The sequence below is a fragment of the Homo sapiens genome, chromosome 11, assembly GCF_000001405.40.
Source record: "Homo sapiens chromosome 11, GRCh38.p14 Primary Assembly".
Classification (NCBI taxonomy): Eukaryota; Metazoa; Chordata; class Mammalia; order Primates; family Hominidae; genus Homo; species Homo sapiens.
Window position 1 is genome coordinate 64,621,207 of NC_000011.10, and position 18,925 is coordinate 64,640,131.

General features: G+C 56.1%; 1 protein-coding gene across 10 annotated transcripts in view, besides 2 other annotated features; it reads right to left on the reverse strand.

Annotated features, from left to right (window-relative positions):
- The window catches only part of NRXN2 (neurexin 2), a 117,024-nt gene that overhangs the window by 15,033 nt on the left and 83,066 nt on the right, over positions 1–18,925 (reverse strand). For 7 of the 10 annotated variants that reach the window (NM_001376266.1, NM_001376265.1, NM_001376263.1 and 4 more), the window contains 4 exons: positions 14,065–14,246; positions 9,196–9,367; positions 5,257–5,346; positions 1,547–1,872 (listed from right to left, as the gene is read on the reverse strand). In NM_001376266.1, coding sequence (NP_001363195.1) covers positions 1,547–1,872; positions 5,257–5,346; positions 9,196–9,367; positions 14,065–14,246 — 770 coding nt within the window. The remainder of the gene's footprint in view (positions 1–1,546; positions 1,873–5,256; positions 5,347–9,195; positions 9,368–14,064; positions 14,247–18,925) is intronic. The other 3 variants (NM_138732.3, NM_001376267.1, NM_001400682.1) reach the window with 1 other exon arrangement.
- Positions 3,963–4,012: an enhancer, noted in NCBI's record as "active region_4905". NCBI's record gives its function as "activates an Ori minimal core promoter by ATAC-STARR-seq in GM12878 lymphoblastoid cells {active_cell/tissue: GM12878}" and the evidence as "EXISTENCE:reporter gene assay evidence [ECO:0000049][PMID:35858748]".
- Positions 16,012–16,580: an enhancer, noted in NCBI's record as "H3K27ac-H3K4me1 hESC enhancer chr11:64404690-64405258 (GRCh37/hg19 assembly coordinates)". NCBI's record gives its function as "activates a minimal SCP1, AML or CMV promoter by ChIP-STARR-seq in naive H9 embryonic stem cells {active_cell/tissue: H9 hESC(naive)}" and the evidence as "EXISTENCE:reporter gene assay evidence [ECO:0000049][PMID:30033119]".

Genomic DNA, 18,925 nt, shown 5'->3' on the forward strand with positions numbered 1-18,925 from the left:
CCAGCTCCCTTCTGCATTCTTGCCCCCTCGGCACCAGCCTCCATCTTGGGCTTCCCCACCACAGCAGTGACTCCTGGGACTCCCACCTCTCTCTTCCACCAGGATGATCTGCCCATCACCCTCCCACTGAGACCAGACAGCCCCTCGTCCCCTATGATTTGGAGGGTATTGGGCATGGTGGGTACCCAGCCTTGGGTAGAGCCCAGACCTTTTCCCCAAGGGCTCCCTGCTCCCTCGGGGCAAAGTCTTCAGGTCTCCTCAGCTTTCTTTGCAGAGAGGAAGTGGGTACAGGCTTGTCTCTCTGATCTGGATGGCCCCAGCTAGCCTAGTCCCAGGCTTCCTGCAGCACAGACTGGCAGGGAGGAGGGGTCTTAAAGCACATGGAGCCCACCCCTCAGAGGGAGAAGCTGAAGACAGACTGGTGACAGAGGGAGGAGCACATCCTCATGGCCACCCCCAGATCCTGCCCTCACCCTAGAAGGACAGAGGGTGCCTAACAGCCATAGGCTGCCAGACAGGGCGATGGGAAGAGAAGGGGTGGCCAAAAAAGGCCTTCATGCCAGGTGTGAGCCCTCCCTGTGCTAACGGTCAGAGCAAGCACAGGAGGCAACAACTAGAAAACAGCCCAGCCTGGGCTGCCTCAGGAAGTCACACAGGCCTGTCCTGCTCCAGCAGAGCCCCATTCCCCAGGTGCAGGCCCCTCCAGTCCTGCCCTATCGCTAGGGCTTGACCTGACCCAGGAAACACCTGAGCAGGTGGGGTGGGCTCCATGTGCTTCAAGGCCCCTCCTCCCTACCAGTCTGTGCTGCAGGAAGCCTGGGACTAGGCTAGCTGGGGCCATCCAGATCAGCAGGTGGGGTGAGCACCAGGGAACTGTCTGCACTGAGACCCCCTCAGACGCACAGACGGAGAGGACACTGAAGCTGCCTGAGTTGTGGTGCCTGCTCATAGTCACATGGAGAGGGCTTGTGAAGGCAATGGACTTGCAGCCAGGGCTTTCCCACTGCAGGGACCCCAGCAAACAAGGAGAGGCTCCTCCTAGCTTCCACCAGCCTCTGGAGAGGGGCTGCCCATGCCAGGTGACTGCATCCAGCCCTCCCATGCTGTCACCCCTGCCCACAGCAGGGCCAGCCTGGTACCATCCATCTCCCACTCTCTGCCCACACAGAACGCTAGGCATGGCCTTCACTGGGGAAGCAGAAGGAGCCATCCTACTCTCACCCCAAGTCCAGACTTCATCTCTCTTAGGTAGGGTGGTCTTCTCTCATATAACTGGGCCATCAAACTCCTCCCCAATTCTGGGAATGGTCCCTCTAGAAATAGTGGTCACCCCCACATCACAAGATCCCTGGTCATTAGGGTGAAGGCCACTTCCTGAAAGGTGACCTTGCCCATCGCCATGGCAACAAAGTCAGCGACAGCAGCCTTCAGGATCCCAACAGACCCCTTGGACCCTCACTCTAGGCACCACTACTGTGGCTATGCAGATATCAACCCCATCCCCACCTATCCCTGCCCTAATCCACCAGCCAGAGTGGGGCCTCACCTGGGTGGTGCTGTCCCTCAGTGTGGGGGAGCGGCCCCGGCGCGTGGTGGTAGTGGCCATGGTGGTGGTAGTCTCCATGATGGTGGTGGCCATGTCAGCCAGCAGGGTGGTGGCCGTGGTCTCCGCACTGAGCAGCACGGACGGCCCCTCCCCCACCAGGCGCAGGTGACCCTCAGTCCGCACATTGGGGTCGCTCTCGGCGGCCAGCGCCAGCACCTTGAGCCCATTGTAGTAGAGGCCGGACACCTGGCCCTGGAAGGGGCGGCCCTGATCCCGGCCCCCGATCTTGATGGCAGCCTGGCTGTTGAAGATGGTCAGCTGGCGGCCTTGCAGGAGTGGAAGGGGGTGACAGAGAAGGGGCAGGCAGTGAGGGGAGACCAGGAAGGGAAGGAAGAAAAGAAGGAAGCCAAGGAGAGGAAAGAGGAATGGAGGAGAAAGCCAGTAAGGGAGGAGGGGACGGGGAGAAATGAGGAAGGGGCAGAAAGCCAAAGGGAAAGTCCTTGTCAGCCACAGCCCCTAGCCCAGCCAGGTGGGGACCCCAGAAGGGGAGGGCACCCAGGGTACACATGGGCTGGGGAAGGGGAGCCCAGTCCCTCCTCCCCACCATGTGCAAGCCTTCCCACCTTCCCCATTCCCTCTCCTCTCCAGCTCCAAGGTCATCTCCCCTCTTCATCCTCTTCCCTCAGTCCATCCCCATCTTCTCCCTCTGCTTCCCCAAACATCCTGCCCCAGTGTCCAGCCCCAAGCCCTGAAGCCATGGAGCCCCTGGAAGAGGCAGATAGAGGAGACAAAGAGGCAGAGACAGAGGAGGTAGCTGCCAGGCCAAGGTGGAGTCGGTGCGTGTGAGAGCAGAGAAGGAGGTGAGACAGAGTGATGGTGTGTGGAAGCAGCAACCTGCCCAGGCTGACCTCCCACCTACAACCAGGCCTTCTGACCCCTGGCCAGGATCCCCTCTCTTCTCCCGGACTGCCAAGGCCCAGCACTGCCTGGGACCAGGCCCTGTTAAGCCGAGCCCTTCCTCCCCACCTGGACATGCAAGCACAGAAGTGGAAAATGTTAAAGGGACCTTGCTTCGCTCACTGACAGCCAATAAAACCCGCTCCAGCTCCAATCTCACCCCACACTCCAGTATGACACCTCAGAATTCCCAGCTGGGTGGGGTTGGGCTGTTCTGTTTGTTTTTAGTGGATCTGGGGGTCGGTTTAACCCTCTGAGTTTGTTGTTTTGGTTTGGTTTTTAGAAAAGATGTTTATTATGTTTAAGTTTAGATTTAACTTTGGTTTTGGTGCTGCTTATTTTGTGGGAGGGAGGGGGTGGGCAGAGGGCCTACCACATTGCCCCATCTCCCCCGGAACCTTCAGCTGCTGGCACTGGGGGTTTTAGACCTGGCTTAGCCCTTGTTAGCCTCTGGTTAGTGCCTCGTTAAAGATCTGGTTTAGAGTTCGGTGCCTGTAAGCCTTGCCCCCAAAACCCGGGCTGAGGACAGTCCAACTTGTGAAGCCCACAACCTCTTTGGAAACAGGTTCTCTGGGACACCCAGGCCTCTGGGACATCCAAACATCCATCCAGCCTCTAGCCAATGATGGCCACTGGGGTGTCTCCCCAGCCCCCCACTCAGCCTTCCTTCTTCCTCCAGCACCCTCCCACTGCCCACTCAGGCAAGGATAGCCCCTGGACCAGCAACGCCCATTACTAATGGCCAAGAGGCCAAGAGGCAGAGGGCCAGTGGTAGCAGCTCTGGTACAAGTCCTGGAATACCAGACCCAGAGAGGCCCAGGAAGACCTCTGCATCAAAGTTTTTTCCCAGACATAAGAATCATGAGGAAAACAAAGGAGAGAAGGATCACAGTGGTCAAATGAGTTGGGGAAGGAAACATTTCACAATCGAACAGGTTTCTTTCTCCAAGGGCTTCTCAGAGCCTTTATTAAACTAATGCACATATGCATCTCCAAGAGGAAGAAACAGGATTCAGCACTTCCCAAACTCATTCTACCACAAATCTCTCTATTGTGAAGCATCTCATGGGACTGTTTCACAGGACATGCTTTGGAACTGGAAAATGGATTCATCCAATAAATATTTATTGAGCACCTACCATAGTCAGGCGCTAACAATAAAATATTCCCTCCAAGCATCCCCAGAACTTGTTCTGGGATACTTTCCTGCTGTTTCTTTCCTCTCACCCTCACAACATGCCTGTGAGGTGGGCTGAGTAACCATCACTGCCCCATCAGGAGAGAGCTGAGCCTCAGAAAGGGGAAGTACTTGGCTAAGGCCACAGAAAAGTGAGTTCCTTCTTTCACACTTCGGGCACTACCTCTCTAATCCAATTGGTTATTTTCTAGAAGAGGAAAGTCAGATCTAAGGCAAAAAGGAAGGAGGGCCCTGGCTCTCCTTCATCTAAACCACAATTCCTCCCCCACCCCCCAACAGGGCCTGTCCAGCTCTCCCTGCTCTTGGGGTCACAAGTTGTCCCAGCCTCAGCCCAGGCTGCTCCCTTGGCCTCTCTGATTCTGGAAGAGGGAGGTGGGTAATGAAGAGGAAGCCACAGTGTTAGCAAACTTGGTCCCTGTGGCCCCTGGCCCCATCCGCCATGAACTCCTCAAAGGGTTAAAGTTCACCCCGCTGGAGAGAGCAGCCCAGTGTGGCTGGGGGCTGTAGGTTTTAGCGATGTCTGTTACAGTCCCTTTAACTTTTTGTCCTGTTATGGGTTTATCACATCTGGTTATCAGCAGGTTTAGGCCCCACAGGCATGGGGGGCTAGAAGTTACATTTGGGGGTTTTAGTTGGGGAAGGCCCCAGTGGACATTTAAAAGCACAGTTATCAGCTGGTTAAGTGGAGATTTAACAGTTCTACTTCCCCCCTAGAGTTTAGCCTTAGAGGTACAGAGCTCGCCCCGCCTCCCCAAAGGGAATGGGATGGATATGTCCTTAGTCCCCAGCTTCCCTTGGTAACAAGAAGCCTTCTCTCTCACACCCAGCGACACCTCACCACACTGGGGCCTCACAAGGGGCTTGCTTGGTCTTCCTCATCAGCCAAGCAGGAGCAGAAATCCCTATGGGCCCACCACCTCCTGCCCCACTTCCCTTAGTCTCTCCTCAACTTCTCAGAGGCCTTCTGGACTAACCTGGGCTTGTTCCAGAGATAGCAGCCCCACAGCACTCTCTTTGGGGGTCTTTCCAGTAAGATCTGAGGTCCCCACTCTTCTCTCTTCTCCTCACATGGCTCTGGTGAAGCCTTCCTAAACCTCCTCAGGTCAGCCTTCCTGCTTCCCAAAGGCTTCCTGCCTCTGCATGCTCTGTGGCCCTCAGCTAGCCCTTTACCAAGCCTCCGAGATGATTCTGGGCAGAGGGAACCTACCTCCAAGCTGCATTCCCAGCCTGCTTGTGATTTACTGCCGGGCTCACAGTGGGGAGCTCCCATGGTAGGGATCTTGTGGATTACCCTAGTTGATCCCAGGTTTAAAAAGAGAACAAGACTCTCCCTACTTCTAAGAAAAAACCCCACTCCTACCCCAAAAACCACCACTCTGAAATGCACAGACAGACCCTTGACTCCAAAGGGGAAGGGAGCATTCTGGCTGGCCAATTGTCCCTTCACTTGGGGGTGGGCATTGGTGAAGGCACGGAGGGGGAAAGAGAGAGCTCTGCACCTTTAAGATAGTGTTTTTAAAGTTAATTAATTAATTAATTAATTCTGGTTAATTACCTTTGTCGAGCAGCCACTCATCTACTACTCGACCAAGCCGGTAGGGGATTCTCTGTCTAGCAATCGCCAGGCGCTCGTTATCAAAGTTTCCTTGGAAAAGTTTAGAAAGACAGTAGGTTTCTCAGGCAGCGAAGTCCAAAGGAGTTAGAAAAGTAATTATGCAATCCTCAGGAGACTCAGAGTAAGCAGCAACATCCACGGAAAGAGGGGAAGGGAGGAAAAGAAACGCTGGGCCCCTCTTTTCCCTTGACCCCCTCCCTAGGCTCCGGTTCAGAGCCAGCCCCACCCTGGGGGCAGGAGCAACCCAAAGCAAAAGAGATGAGAAAAGAAGAAAAGGAAAGGGACACAAAAGAAAGGGAGCTGGAAGGTCAAAGGTCAGAGGTTAAACAGGTTTATCTGTGGTTAAGCTGCTGTGGCCCCCTTCCTTCCCCATCCCAAAGTGGGGGGCGGGCAGGGGAGGGGCATTTAGCAGGTTTAAGTTGGGGGCGGGAGGCATCAGTGGCCCAACTGGTTTCTGCGTTTAGAGGGCGGTTTAGAAGTGGGAAGGATGGGTTAAGCGGGGTTTATGCGGCATTTAGGGGGCCACCCAGCACGCACATTGAACAGTGAGATTTAAACCACTTCTCCAGGCCACCTCAACTCCCTTTGCCTTCGTGCTCCACTCCCAGCTTCCCCTCAATTTCCACCTCATACCACACCTATGACCCCGCCACCTCATACCACACCCATGACCCCCCTTAAGCCCCTCCCGTTCCCAACCCCACCACTGCACTCCCTTTGCAAGGCCTCCTCACCCTGGTCAGGGCTCTCTTTCTACTGGGCAGCCACTACAGGTGTGGCGCCTGGTGTGGGAGCTGGATCATCATCCAGCAGCCCCCTTCCCCTTCTCACCTCCTCTTCGGCCCCTTTCTCCTCCCCTGCAGACACCCCCCGCCTTCCTCTGCACCCTCCTCTGCCCCGAATGCACCTTGACCATTTTCTACTCAGAGCCCAGTTTCTTCTCCTTGCTGTCTCAGGACCTCATCTTGCTCACCCTGCCAGGCCCTCAGCCTTTCTTTTCCAGGCTCCTCCCCCCAGTTCCAGCCCCCATCTCTTCTGCAAGCTTGGCTGCCCATCTGGATACCCACCTGTTCCTCTCTGCGCTCACCAATCTCCAGCCCCTGGAGACTGGGAAAGGGAATGTGTGTGAATGTGTGTGTGTGCACAGACGCCTATGTGGAAAGAGGTTTGTCAGTGCACCTGAGAGGATCTGTACACCTCTGTGAGCTGTGGGTGATCCTGGTCTGCAGCAGTGGAAAGAGAACTGATTTCCTTTGAGAATCTGGCCACTCCTCCCATTTAAGCCACTGACATACTATTCAGTGCACGCTGGTGGGGCCAGGAGGCTTTTCCTCTCATCTCTCACTGCACAGCTGTGCTCACCTGCCCAGAGACCCGGGCCTGGGCCTGCCTATGTACACCTCCCATGAAGGTACACACGATGTGTTCATGTGGGTATGGATGGTGCCTCCTTGGGTGCTTATGAGGCAAGGAGATTCTGCTTTCCCTATAGATTCAGGATATTTGTGTTTAAATTAAAAACAGATCATTCAATCCTGTGTGTGTGTCTCCAAGAGGAAGAGAAAAATGTACATCTGCCTGGAGGGAGGCTGAGTATACAAAAATTCTAATAAAAGTCCTATTTATTGAGCACCTTTGCTATGCCATGCCATTCTAGTGTTTAATGACATTCTCACAGTATTGCTATGAGGTAGGTATCATCACCTTTCCGAAGTGGAAACTGAGATTCAGAGAGGCTAGATGACTTGTCCAAGGTTACACGCTTGTCAGTGGGAGATCCAGGATTAAAACCCAGGTTCTTCTGACTCAGAATCCATGGGCTGTGTCTCTGTGCTCCCAAAGAATCAGAGGGTCCCCCCCCACTCTGGGCCCATGCATACTGATGGTCTGACCTGCTGGTATTGCTCAGGATCTGCCCTCAGTATATACAGGCAACCACCAGACCCTCATGTTACTCCCCTTTACAGGCGGGGGCACCCAGCAGCCTTTCCTCACCCCTAGTCAGGGGTCCCTGAGGAGAGGAGAGCAGGAATAATTCTTCCACCCTGACTGCTGGCCTCCTGGGCCCCAAGGGGAGAAGCTCTAGATCCAAGTCCTGGCTTGACATGGTGAGGCCTTCATGCTTCCAAGCCCAGCCCTGTCCAGCACAGGCCAATGTCATCACTGCTACAAAGGTTGCCCTAGTATGTGTGCATCGGAGAATGAGAGAAGTCTGCTGCCCACAGGAATCATGCCTACACAGCCAGAGCTGTCAGTGTTGGCTTGTTGGGGGGCGTGGGGGATAGGTGGAATTTAGTGTAGGAGGGTTGGTGTGTGTTGAGTGTCCCTACATGTACCCAGGGACTTGATGTAGGCTGGCATCCCTCTGCAGAGCTGTTTTTTCATGTGTCTGTCTGACCATACAAATGTCTGCAGTTGTCCATATGTCTAAGGTTGACCTGTGTGTACATGAACCTCTGTATGTATTAGGGGGCCACGCAGGCCTCTTTATCTCCAGGGACTTTCCAGAAATGTCTGGGTACAAGCCTGCGTAATTGGTGTCATAAGCCTGTACTGGCATCTTTACTCCAGCATAGGTGAGCCCATGAAAGTTTACACATTGGCCTTTTGCCCCTGCCCCTCGCAGTCAGCATGGGGCAGCTTCTCTGCCTCAGCCTGGCTATCTCTCCGCCTGGGAGAGTGATGGAGGTCGCAGATGCTCACTCTGCTTCTCAGTCAGGCCCTGTGTGTGACTGCAATGTCGCTCAGACTGTATCTCACCATCTCTGTGTTTCTGCAGTTCTCCCTGCAGCGTTCCTGTTTCCCCTCCCTCTTTATCTCCCATGCTGGGGCTCTCCTCCGTTCCCTCCCAAGGCTCTGTCCACCTCTTCTCTCCCTGGGCCTGCATGTCAGCATCTCCATCTACCTCTCCACATCTCTCCTCATCTTTGCATATAGTTCAGTGCTATTTCCATATCTTTCCATTGCTTCCCCTCTGGTTTCCTCTCATTCTAAGGCTCTGTCTCTGCCTCCCTCAATATCTTTCAGAGTCTCTGCCTCCTCATTTCTTCCATGTCCTCATCTCCATCCCTCTCCTGTGCTCCTCAGACCTTGGTTTGTCCTTGGCCGCCACAGCTGTCACCCTGTTGAACTTGGTCTGTCTGCATTCTCAAGGCTCCCTGCAAGCAGGGACTGAGTGCCCCGGACCTAGCACAAGCCCTGATATCTAAGTAGGTTGTCAACAAAGGTTATTGAACGCACATGACCCTGTGTTTCATTTTTGTTGTCACTTGTCTCTTCCTCCCTTTCACCATGTCCCTCACCGCCTTGGACACTGGGGGTCCTTTTCTCTGAGTCTCCGTGGCTACTCCTCTTCCTTCGTTAGATCTCCTAATATGGATCTCTGACTTGCTCTTTATAAGGACCTCGGTTCTTTCCTTGGCTCTGCCCGTGGTAACAGCCCTGTCTCCTTGCCAAGACACGTTTTATATTACTTCTGGATTTTCTCTCCTGTTTCTGCATCTGTCTCCCTCATTTCTGAACTCAACCTTTCCGCAATCGCATCAGATTCTCCTCACCTCTACCCTCCCTCCACTTCTCCCCCCACCCCCAAACTGGACCCTGGCCTTGCAACCTTCCCAGCTCAGCCCTGCACCCTCCCCCATAGGGGGCGCATTCGCACCACCACGGTCTCGCCCCGCCGCCACAAATCCCGACTTTTCCTAGCCACGCCCCTGCCCTAGTCCCGCCTCGCAAGCTTCGTCTCTCCAGTAGCCCCGCCCCAGAGCCGCTTAGCCCCGCCCCAGAGCCGCTTAGCCCCGCCCCGGTGCGGCCGCACTCCTATCAGAGGCCGCCACCCGCCCCGCCACCGCGCCTCCTCCGCGGGCCCGCGCCGCCTACCTGCCGGGTACCGCTCGTTGACCGGCCAGCTGTCCACCTGCAGGGTGGCGTTGCCGCCGCTTCGAGTGAAGCGCACCACGTGGTATTTGCCGTCGCTTACTATGGCGTTGGGCTCGTCGATGGTAATGTCGTCCGTGCCCACGTTAAAGATCACCCCCACGGTGCCCTGGTCCTGGGGACATGGAGGTGGAGGTCAGCGACCAGAGGGAGCAACCATTCATCCCTTCTAGTGGCTACTCCTGTGACCACCACTAGCCCAGCTCCGCAGCACTTAAGGCACCTTTCCCAGGTCTCAACCGCTGGAGGAGGTGGGCAGGCTCGCTCCCCTTCCCCACATGCAAGGGAGTAACTTGAGGCCGGAGGTGCGTGCAGAGCCTGGGCCCAGAGCGCCTTCCACTAACCACACCTGTCTCTTGCCTTTTGGTTTGTCCTGGATATTCACAAGTATTCACAGAGCACCTACTCTGTGCAAGGGCCACTGGGCCCAGACAGGGGTGATCGGGCCAAGCTGGGGACCAGCTCGGGGCATGGAGGGCAGAGGCCTCTCTAAGGCAAGATCAGCAGAGAAGTCCACAGAAGCCGGCCTCTGCCAGAGGAAGGTCTGACCCCCAGCCCCTCCCCAGTCCCCAGTCTCCAGCCTCTCCTCCCTGGTATGCTCTGTACCAAGCAGGCCCCCAGGGGGCTTCCACCCACACCAGGGCATTAGCATGCCTCTCCTGGCAGCCTCTCAGGCCCAAAGTAGGTCAGGCTCTGAGTGTGGGGGTGGACCCTCTGCAGCCATGGGGGTGGAGGTGGGGGGTGTGGACTGTGTGTATGGTGGGATGGACACCAGAAGAGCTGAGGGTCAAACTATGCTAGACTGACCAAGAAAGGGGATCGTGGGGGTTTCGGGGTAGGGGGTGGAGCTAGGGGCTGGGGAAGGACAGGCAGAGGACAGACAGGGACGGAGGCCTGGAGAAGGGGAGCAAAGAGCCTAAGCAATCTCTGGGACCCAGGCCCACGGGACACTCTGCAGAGGCAACCCAGGATCAGCCCAGGAAGAGTTCTGCTTGTGGTGCTAGAGTGGGAGGGAGGGCTTCACCAAACCCTAAATCATGCCAGGCCCTGAGTGGGTACTGTACACGCATGCTCTCTTCCCTACACCAACCCGCTGAAGAAGCTCATAGCTCCCCATTTCATCAAGAAAGAGACTGAGGCTCAGCATAGTTAAATAACATCTCAAAATCTTGCAGCTCATGAGAAGGAAGCCCCAGATTTGAACCCCAGCTAGTCTGACTTCAAAGCCAGTGTTCTCTCCCTTTGCCCACCAGTCTAGGAAGACCCTGACTCAAGGAGGTGGGGGTGTGGGATGATCCAAGAGGCTGCTGAGGCCTACCTTCAACACCAAAGGCATCTAACCAAGCCAACGAAGGCCCATTAGGTACTAAGCCTGAGCCCCTGTTTCACTTCCCTGCACCTCCCAGCAGCACTCCTGAACGCGGTCTCAGCCCTCCTCCCACACGGAACAGACACTCACACAGGTTCACTCAAACCCCCTGGCTCACACACTCTCAGGCACCCAACCCATCATAGAAACACACTACACTCCTGGGGTCTTCTTGAAAGACTGCCCCAGTCTGGCCTGGACATGTGGAACATTCAGCTGCCACCTCCTTCCTGCATCTAGCAGAGCCGAGAGGCTTGGTGGCACTGGGGGTGTTGGCAGGGGTGGCTCACAGATGGGGCAAGGGTTGGGGTTTGGCAGAGAGAGTTGGGGGACAAGGTTTGCAGCTGTGGCTCAGGAGACCCATGTCCTATCCCTTCCCACTTGTGGGGTCCAGTTGTCTCCTTCTCAGAACCTGGGAAAACCACATACATATATGCATGCATGCACGCTAACACACAGATGCATGCACACAGTCATACATGCATGCAGCCTCTCTCCTCAGATGCAGTAAAGCAGGGAAACTGAGGCTGGGCTTGCCTAACAAAGAGTATTAGCAAGCCCCACCCATTCACCACCCACAGACTGACAACATCCCCAGGGAGACGGGCTGATCATCTGCTCCCCACACACGGGAAGGAACAGTCGATCCTCCTCGGTACTATTGTTAGTAATAATACCACCCAGAATAGTATCAGCTCCCTGGATTCCTCTGAGGATTTCTCCCCACAGGCTCAGCCCAGGCAGTGATGGTGGTCAAGGAGCACATGCAGTCTGAGAGCCAGGCTGGCAGAGTGCCGGCCAGGGAGCTGGGAGGCAGGACACCTGGGTTTCCTAGGAGGCAGTCAAGCTCAGGGCCCTGCACTCCGGGGGAGAGGCAGCTCCCCAGAGCCTCTCCCAGTGTGAAGTCAGTTGTCACTTCTGTTAAAGTCATTAATTCCTAATTCCCCAATTACCTCATTAGGCGGCGGTGGGGAGAACGAAGCCGCTCCTACAGCAAATAATTATGGGAGTCAAAATTAATTTGGCAAAGTGGAGCGACGCTTTATTAGAAACGTCAAATTGCTTTTCTCTTATTTTGCTGCCGCCTCCCCACTCTCTGAGAGCTGCTACTGACGCTGTGGTGGGAGCTGATGTGTCACCAGGGGAGGAAGGGGTTTGGGGGCTGCCCCCAGGGGGCCTCAGCCCATCTGGTGCCCACCTCCCACCTCATGGCTGGCTCCTCTCATGGACCCCCACCCTTGCCAGGCCTCTCCACCCTCAGGCAGACCCCCGTCTTCCCTGCCCTCTGCCGTACCCGGCACCAGTACTTGTTCCTCCATAGCCTTGCACCTTTAAGGCCTGTTCACAACTGTTGGGAGAGAAAAGGAGGAAATCCCTTCTCCTCGCATCCTGATCCCCCTACCCTTTCTCCTCAGTACTAGGGGAGCCCTACGCCCTAACCTAACAGGCACAGAGGCCCACAGTCCTGCCTAGGTAGCTGATCAGAGATGGTCGGGATACTAGCTAACACAGCATGCTCCCTACGTTCTTCACATAAGTGATCTCCTTCAACCTCCAAACATCCCTCTGTCCTCTTCCTATGCCACTCCATAGATGGGCTAACTGAGGCTCAGACAGCTGCGGTGACTTGCACAAAGACAGCAAGGAAGTGGCAAAGTTGGGATTCAAACCCAGACCATCTACTGCAAGCCATGCAGAGCTTCGCATGAGGGAGAAGAGAGAGAAGGAGCAGCCCTCACTCACAGAGGACACAGGGAAACCCAGTCACACCCCGCCACCCAGAAAGGCAATTGAAACAACTGCAAACACCACTACATGGGGAAATACACATCTATAGATACACTCCATCAGAAATCATGAGATCCAGTCTCTGTCTTCATCCCCCACTGTCACAGCCGTCACTCCTGACACACATCACCATGCATCCAGTCCCACACTGTCGTCTACAGCCACACTGTCTTTCGCTTGCCAGCTGCCTCTCACCATTCTAGATAACTGCCTGTCCCGCTGACACAGGTACAGAACTTCCAGGCCTCTTCTTGGGCCTGACTACTGTTCTGCTTGCTAGTCCTCCTTCTGCACCCCTTCCTCATCCGCTGCCACTTCCACCCCAGCTCTGCTCTGCCCACAGGAAGTCTCCCCTCATGCTCCTTCCTTCACACCCTGGTGTTGGGGTGGGGTGCAGACCTGGGATGCTTAAAAGCTACTGTGTAATGAAGGCCAGTGGCTGCGTTCCCAAGCAGATGGGGAGAGATCAGAGCCCAAACAAGCCTCTCCCCTGGCTTCCTCTCTCCCCTTCCAACTAACTATGCCCTCCTGAAAGCCAGGGGCCCCTCACCCAGAGCTTTCCAGCCCACAAAGCCTGGCCAGCCTGCCTGATCCCCACAGCACAGGGGTCCTGGCCAGGGTGAGCATGTGAAATACAGGCAGGGAAACAAGGTGGCTGTTAGGGGCCAGAAATGTACAGATGAAGACTGAGGGCAAAGGCTCGGGATTGAGGACTGTGGGGAGGGGTCAGGGGAGAGGTTGAGACCAGAAATGAAATGGAGCAATACCAGAGGTCGTAGGGAAGGGTGTAGGGCAGAGCCAGAGATGGGGGAAAGGGCAGGGAAAGAAAAGGGGCCACTTGCAGACTAGAGTTCAACAGGACTCAAAACGGTGAGTCAAGGAGCTGCAGATATGGTAGGAGGCCCAGAGGGAGACCCTGGGAAGGAACCAAGGTCAAGGTGGGTAGCAGGCACAGGGAGGGGCTAGGGCTTCTCCCTGTGGAGCTGAGCAGAGAAAGGCAGAGCCAGGTGGGAGCTGAGGTCAGGGTGAGGATGTGGGGCTGGGCCAAGAGGTCAGTGAGGAGTGAACCTGGCTAGAGAGGCAGTAAAGGAGACAGGGTAAGGGGGCTGCTGGGAGGGCAAAGGTCACGGAAGCAGAAGTCAAGGGCAGCATAGAGGCAGGGGCAGAATCCAGAGGCAAGATGAAGCTGCAAGGGTGGGCTGCCCTGGGGCAGGTAGGTATGAAGGAGGGGCAGGAATAGGTGCAGGACACAGTAGGCTGGCCTAGCTGGTCTAGGAGTGAGCAGGCAGCAGCCCAGGGGAAGTCACAAATGTGGGACACCTCCGAAGGCTACAGGAGAATGGCCTGGAAGTCCCAAAGAGGCCCTTGACTACTTTTAGGAAGGTCAGAAAACACAGGTGGTCTCAGGGAGTGGGGAGCTGGAGAAATTCGAATCAGATGGGAGGGTGGATCTGGGAGTCTTGGTGAATAACTGAGAGAGGGAAGGGTCTCAGAAGCAGAACTTCTTAGCAGGAAGCTCCAGCAATGAGGGAACAGAGGTTCTGAGGGTTCCCCATGAGGGAAGACTTGAGGTGCTGATCCCATGGCAATGAGGGGCTGAACTGATTTGGGAGCAGGAAGCTTGAGGTTGAAGGGTTGGGGCCCAGGGTCCTTACGATGTGCAGCTGCAGGTAGTCTCCAAGGCCGGAGGCGCTGTCCACCCGCACCAGCACAGCGCTCCGCTGGTGGGTGCTGAAGCCCACGGCCAGGCGATCCATCCTCGTGCTGGGCCTGTCATTGGGGGGCCACGTGTAGGTGATGAGCGCTCCCCCCTTCCCAAAGATGTATGTGGTCCCGGCTGCAGAGAGAAGGAAAGGGAGACAAGAAGAAATGACATCAGGAGGACGAGGTCAGCAGGTCCTCAGGGTTGTGACCAGAGGGATGGAACCCCAGGTCTAGATGTGGGACTTCAGCTGTGATACCCACAGCAGCCACCAGCCCTGCCACCCCAGGGAGAAGTTGGCAGGCGGGTGCCTGGGTGAGAGCCTGTGCACGCGCACAGACAGATGTAGCTGCCTCATCAAGAATGCTAGCTTTAATTACAGCAAAATAGAGAGGTAATAGAGTGACACAGAGAGAGAGCCCAGAGAGAAGCTGTAAGGAGACTGAGAAGACAAGAGTGCTGTGGGCAGGAAAGACCCAGGGGGCCCAGTCCTGACTAGCTCCACTTCTCCCAGGCCTGGCAGAGGTGACAGATCCAAGGTGTGTGCTTCTTTGGGGCCAGAGCTAAGCAGGCACCAAGGAACCCCAGGTGATGGCAGGAAGATGAGCAGAGCTGTGTGCAGCTCTGACTCACGGCCAGAGCTGGCGCCCTCCAACATCTCCCATCCCAACCCCTCTCCTGGCTTGCCCAGGACTCCCTGCTTCCGCCCTCACCCAGGGGGCTGCCTGGGTCCCAAAGCAGGAAGGTCCTGGAGCCCTGCCCAGAAAGGAAGAGACAGCCATGAGGTGGGGGTGGGGGAGGGGGGAGAGGGGAGATTGACAGCCAGAGGAGGAAGGAGGCAGAGAGACAGATGGACAGAGAAGGACAGAGAGGGGTGTAAGTGAGAGAAACAGGAGAGTGGGAGCCGGAGATGAAGGCTCCCTCTCCCAGCCCTCCCCTACCCCACCCTCTCTCCCCTTCTCCTTCTCTTCTTCGCCAGCCGGCTGCTGGGGGCGGGTGTGAGGTCCCTAACGATCTCAGCCCCAAAATAAACCCCATTAGTCGCCATGTTCCCTCCTGCGGCTGACTGAGCTCTCTGGGGGTGGGGGTGGGGGTGGGGGGCTGGTCACCCAGTTTCCCGGAAAGGAGCCTTGTCTGGGAGGCCTGGAGGACTAGTACTCCATGGCCTGCAGAGAAGGGAAGGGTAGAGAACAATCTTGCATTCTTTAGAACATAAATGGAGCAGATGAGATTCATAAAATGCTTAATTAAATAATTAGCCACTAATGACTCCTCACAAAGCACTTCTTGTGAGGAGAGGGGTTCAAGGGAGGACTTAAAGAAGGAGAGAAACAGATGAGGCCTAAGGGCAAAAGCCTAGACAGGGAGAAAATGTCAGTCTGGGGGTGGGAGAACTCTGGAGTCAGGAACTAGGAGCCTGCAGTGGGGGGCAGGAGGGCCTGCAGCACTTCTAAGGAGCAGGCCTTGCCAGCAGCCAAGGAGGTGGCCCAGTTGGTAACACTAGGCCGGGTTCCCTCAGGTACCTCGGGGTCTCTCGCCTCAGGGACTTGAACCCCCTTGTAGTTGGGGCAATCAGGGGTGAGGAGGCTCCATCCCAGGGAGCTCCTAGGACCCCAAAGGGGAGGGGCTGCCTGAGTGCTTTGGGGGGAGCCACCATCTGCAGGCCCAGGGAGGTGCTGAGGAGAGAAGGGAAGATTGTTGCCTGGTTCCCAAAGAGGTAGTGAGGCCAGCAGGGGGTTGGGGGAAGCAGGAGCCATGGGTCCCCTTGCTGTTCCCCAGAGCACCCACCATCAACACCTTCCATCCCCCCAGAGTGAGAGGTGACCCTGGGAGGAAGGGCAGGAGGGAAAGAACCACCTGGATGGCTAATAACTGACATCTCACCTCTGCCTGTGGCCAAGAAACCACCCCCAGCAGACAGAGGGGGCTTGGCTCTGCCCTCCCCAGACCCAGGTGTCCTTTCTACCTGAGGGCCCTGGAGCACAGTGGTGAGCACTGAACCCTCAGGATGGGGCCCCAAGTCGAGGGCGGAGAGTTGGCTGACAGTGGGGTATGCAGTGACCCCCACCCCCACCCCATGTGGTCACCTGCCTGGAAGGGCAGCGCCTGGAGGTGGGGAGCCCAGTAGGCCTCAGCCGGTAACGGTCTCTCCACTCCCAGCACTGCAGCACTCTGGAAAATCGGCTGTTTCCATGACAACTGTAATACCCAGGGTCCTCCTCCCCACTCCACACAAGATGCACATCTGAATTTGGGGGGTGGGGCGGGCCAGGGGAGCAGAGATGCTGACCTTCCTCCACACACATTCCTACCCTCACCTTCCTGATCAGAGGCTGCAGCCTCTTCACCCCTGGGCTCCAGGGCCTCCCATTCAGAGAAGGCTTTATTGGGTTTCTTGATCCCTCAGACCAGGGAAGGAAACCAAGTCTACCTGCAGGCTGCCTCCAAATCCCCCAGGTCTAGGAGAAAAGAGGCCCTTTCTCTTCACTTCCCACCCCAGATTCCAGACAGCAAGCACATCACCATGGACAGAGCCCTGTCTGTGCCCAGAGAGGGCGGGAGGAAAAAGCCGGCCAAATGCCCCACTGGGCAGGCAGTGAGGCAGGAGGGATCAGAGGCGGTGCCCAGCGCCCAAGCCCCAGGCCCCACACCCACACACAGGCGGCGACGCACCCAGCTGCACACAAAGACCCAGCGTAGAGAGGCAGACCCCCGACAGGAGGCGAAGCAGCCAGGAAACATGGCGGTGAAGGCACAAAGACAGACCAGGGAAGGCGGCCCCAGGACAGGGACTGGCCAAGCGTGGGACAGGGCGCACGCGTCCCCGCCCCCGAGGCCCGCGGCGCACAGGCTGCCCAAGCCCAGACCTCCCCTGGGATTTATCACCCAGCCGTTCTCACACTGCTGCCAGTTTATTACGCTGGGCGGGTCTGTTAAAGCCTAAGGGCGTTTATTACACTGTGGGGGGACTGGGCGGAGAGACACTTCTTGGGCAGAAGAGGTGAAGGATGAATGGTTTATTGGACTGGGGCGGCAGTAATTACCCTGGGGAGACATTTCTCTCCCCAGCACCGCGGCTGCCTCCGGAGCGCAGAAGGCTGGGGTTCGGGAGACCGCGGGGCTGGGAGGCGTGGCTTCCGCCAGGCCCCTCCCCAGCCGCGCTCCGGAGGCGCCTTCAGCCTCTCACCCCGGCAAGCTGTCCTCGGCCCTGCCCACGGACTCCCCCAGGGAAGGCACAGCTGTCTTCTAGGAGACACGGAGCGCAAAATAGGGCACCACATCTAGAACCTGACAGGCTCCAGAAAGGGTCTGAAAGGCAAGAGGGGCCTAAGCCAAGGCCCAAAAATGTTGCCCAAGGGTGGTGTAGACCAATTGTTTTTGACCTCTCTAGGAAACCACCAGTGAGCTGAATTGTGCATAACATTTCAGAGAGAACTACACACCTGAAGCCTAAGGCAAGAAAGCCTCTGGCCAAACACAAGATGCCATAGGCCCAGGTTCGGCACCTTCTGCCCATGTCCAATATAGTCTCCTCAATACCTCCTAGACCCAGAAATTCACTCATCCAGTGAAATACTCTAAATGTTCAAGAATATTCCATGCAGTCCCACACACACCTGCATTCTAGAAAAAAACCAACCAACCATTAATAATGGTTAGCTAACCCAGACCCAAACAACATAATCATCCATGTAGAAAACCACCCATGCAGTGATGCCCCTGTGGTTAAAACTACATGTGCAGAACCTCTGCCTGCCTGTGTGCCTGCAGCATCTGAAGCCATGAAAGAAAACCTTCTGGAATATCTAGACTTGTGAGAGGATAAAACATCCTGCACAACCCAGAAAAGCCATGGCCCTAGTGCTCGCAGCCCACACCAGCGCTTTGTACATGAACCTTTACATCCCAGATAGAGAGATCTCTAATGGTCTAGATCCCTGTGCTCAGCTGTCTCTTGATCTAGGATCCCAGAACACAGCCTTTCAATTCCTAACCCCCTGCTTGGCCATAAACCATCCAGTCAGAAATCCAAGTTAACACACCCTGTTCAGAAACAAAATAAATGCTAGCCCCCTTTATAAGCTGGAGTGATAAACCTGGAACCCATGGAAGCTACTGACTCAGAAATTAGCAGGGATTGACCACTCCATTCCTGGCCCGACAGTACCAGAAATGAACACGGTGGGGTGGGAGGAACCTCAAGGACTCTGAAACCAGAATTGGGGATCCAGGACCAGGAGAGTGTCACCCCTGGGCTCAGCTCATTTTTAGGACCCAGGTGTGCCAGTCCTCCCATGCCCCAGACAGACATCAGGTACAGGAGTGGCAATGGGTGTCTGGCAGGTAAGGACATTATGTAACAGGAAGAGTTGGGGGGGATGGCAGGGTAAATGGGGGATGGTGTGAAGAGAAGAGAGGAGAGAAGGCAAGTAGAAACACAGTGAGACCCCAAAAGAAGGCAAGTGGAGAAGCTGGTGCAGAAAGGAGAGAGGCTGCCTCCCACTGGGGATGCTAGGGAGACACTGGGCAGAGAGGAAGCCTGGCCTGGAAAGGCCTCCTGAGCTGGCCTGGTCCTCCAGCCAAGTGTAGGGTCCCAAGAAGAGCCTGTCTTTTCACCTCTCCCACCATGGTTAATGGTTAACGGGAGCAAAGGTGGGGTTCAGCCAGGACAGGTGGCCTCATCCCTTCTCCTCCTTTCCTTGGGCCCTCGTCCTTCCTCTCAGCTGCCCCACCCTTCACAGGCTCCTCCCCCACACCTCCCACCCCCTTCTATCGCCATCCTGGAGCACCCTCCAGATGGCTCTTCCTGTTTC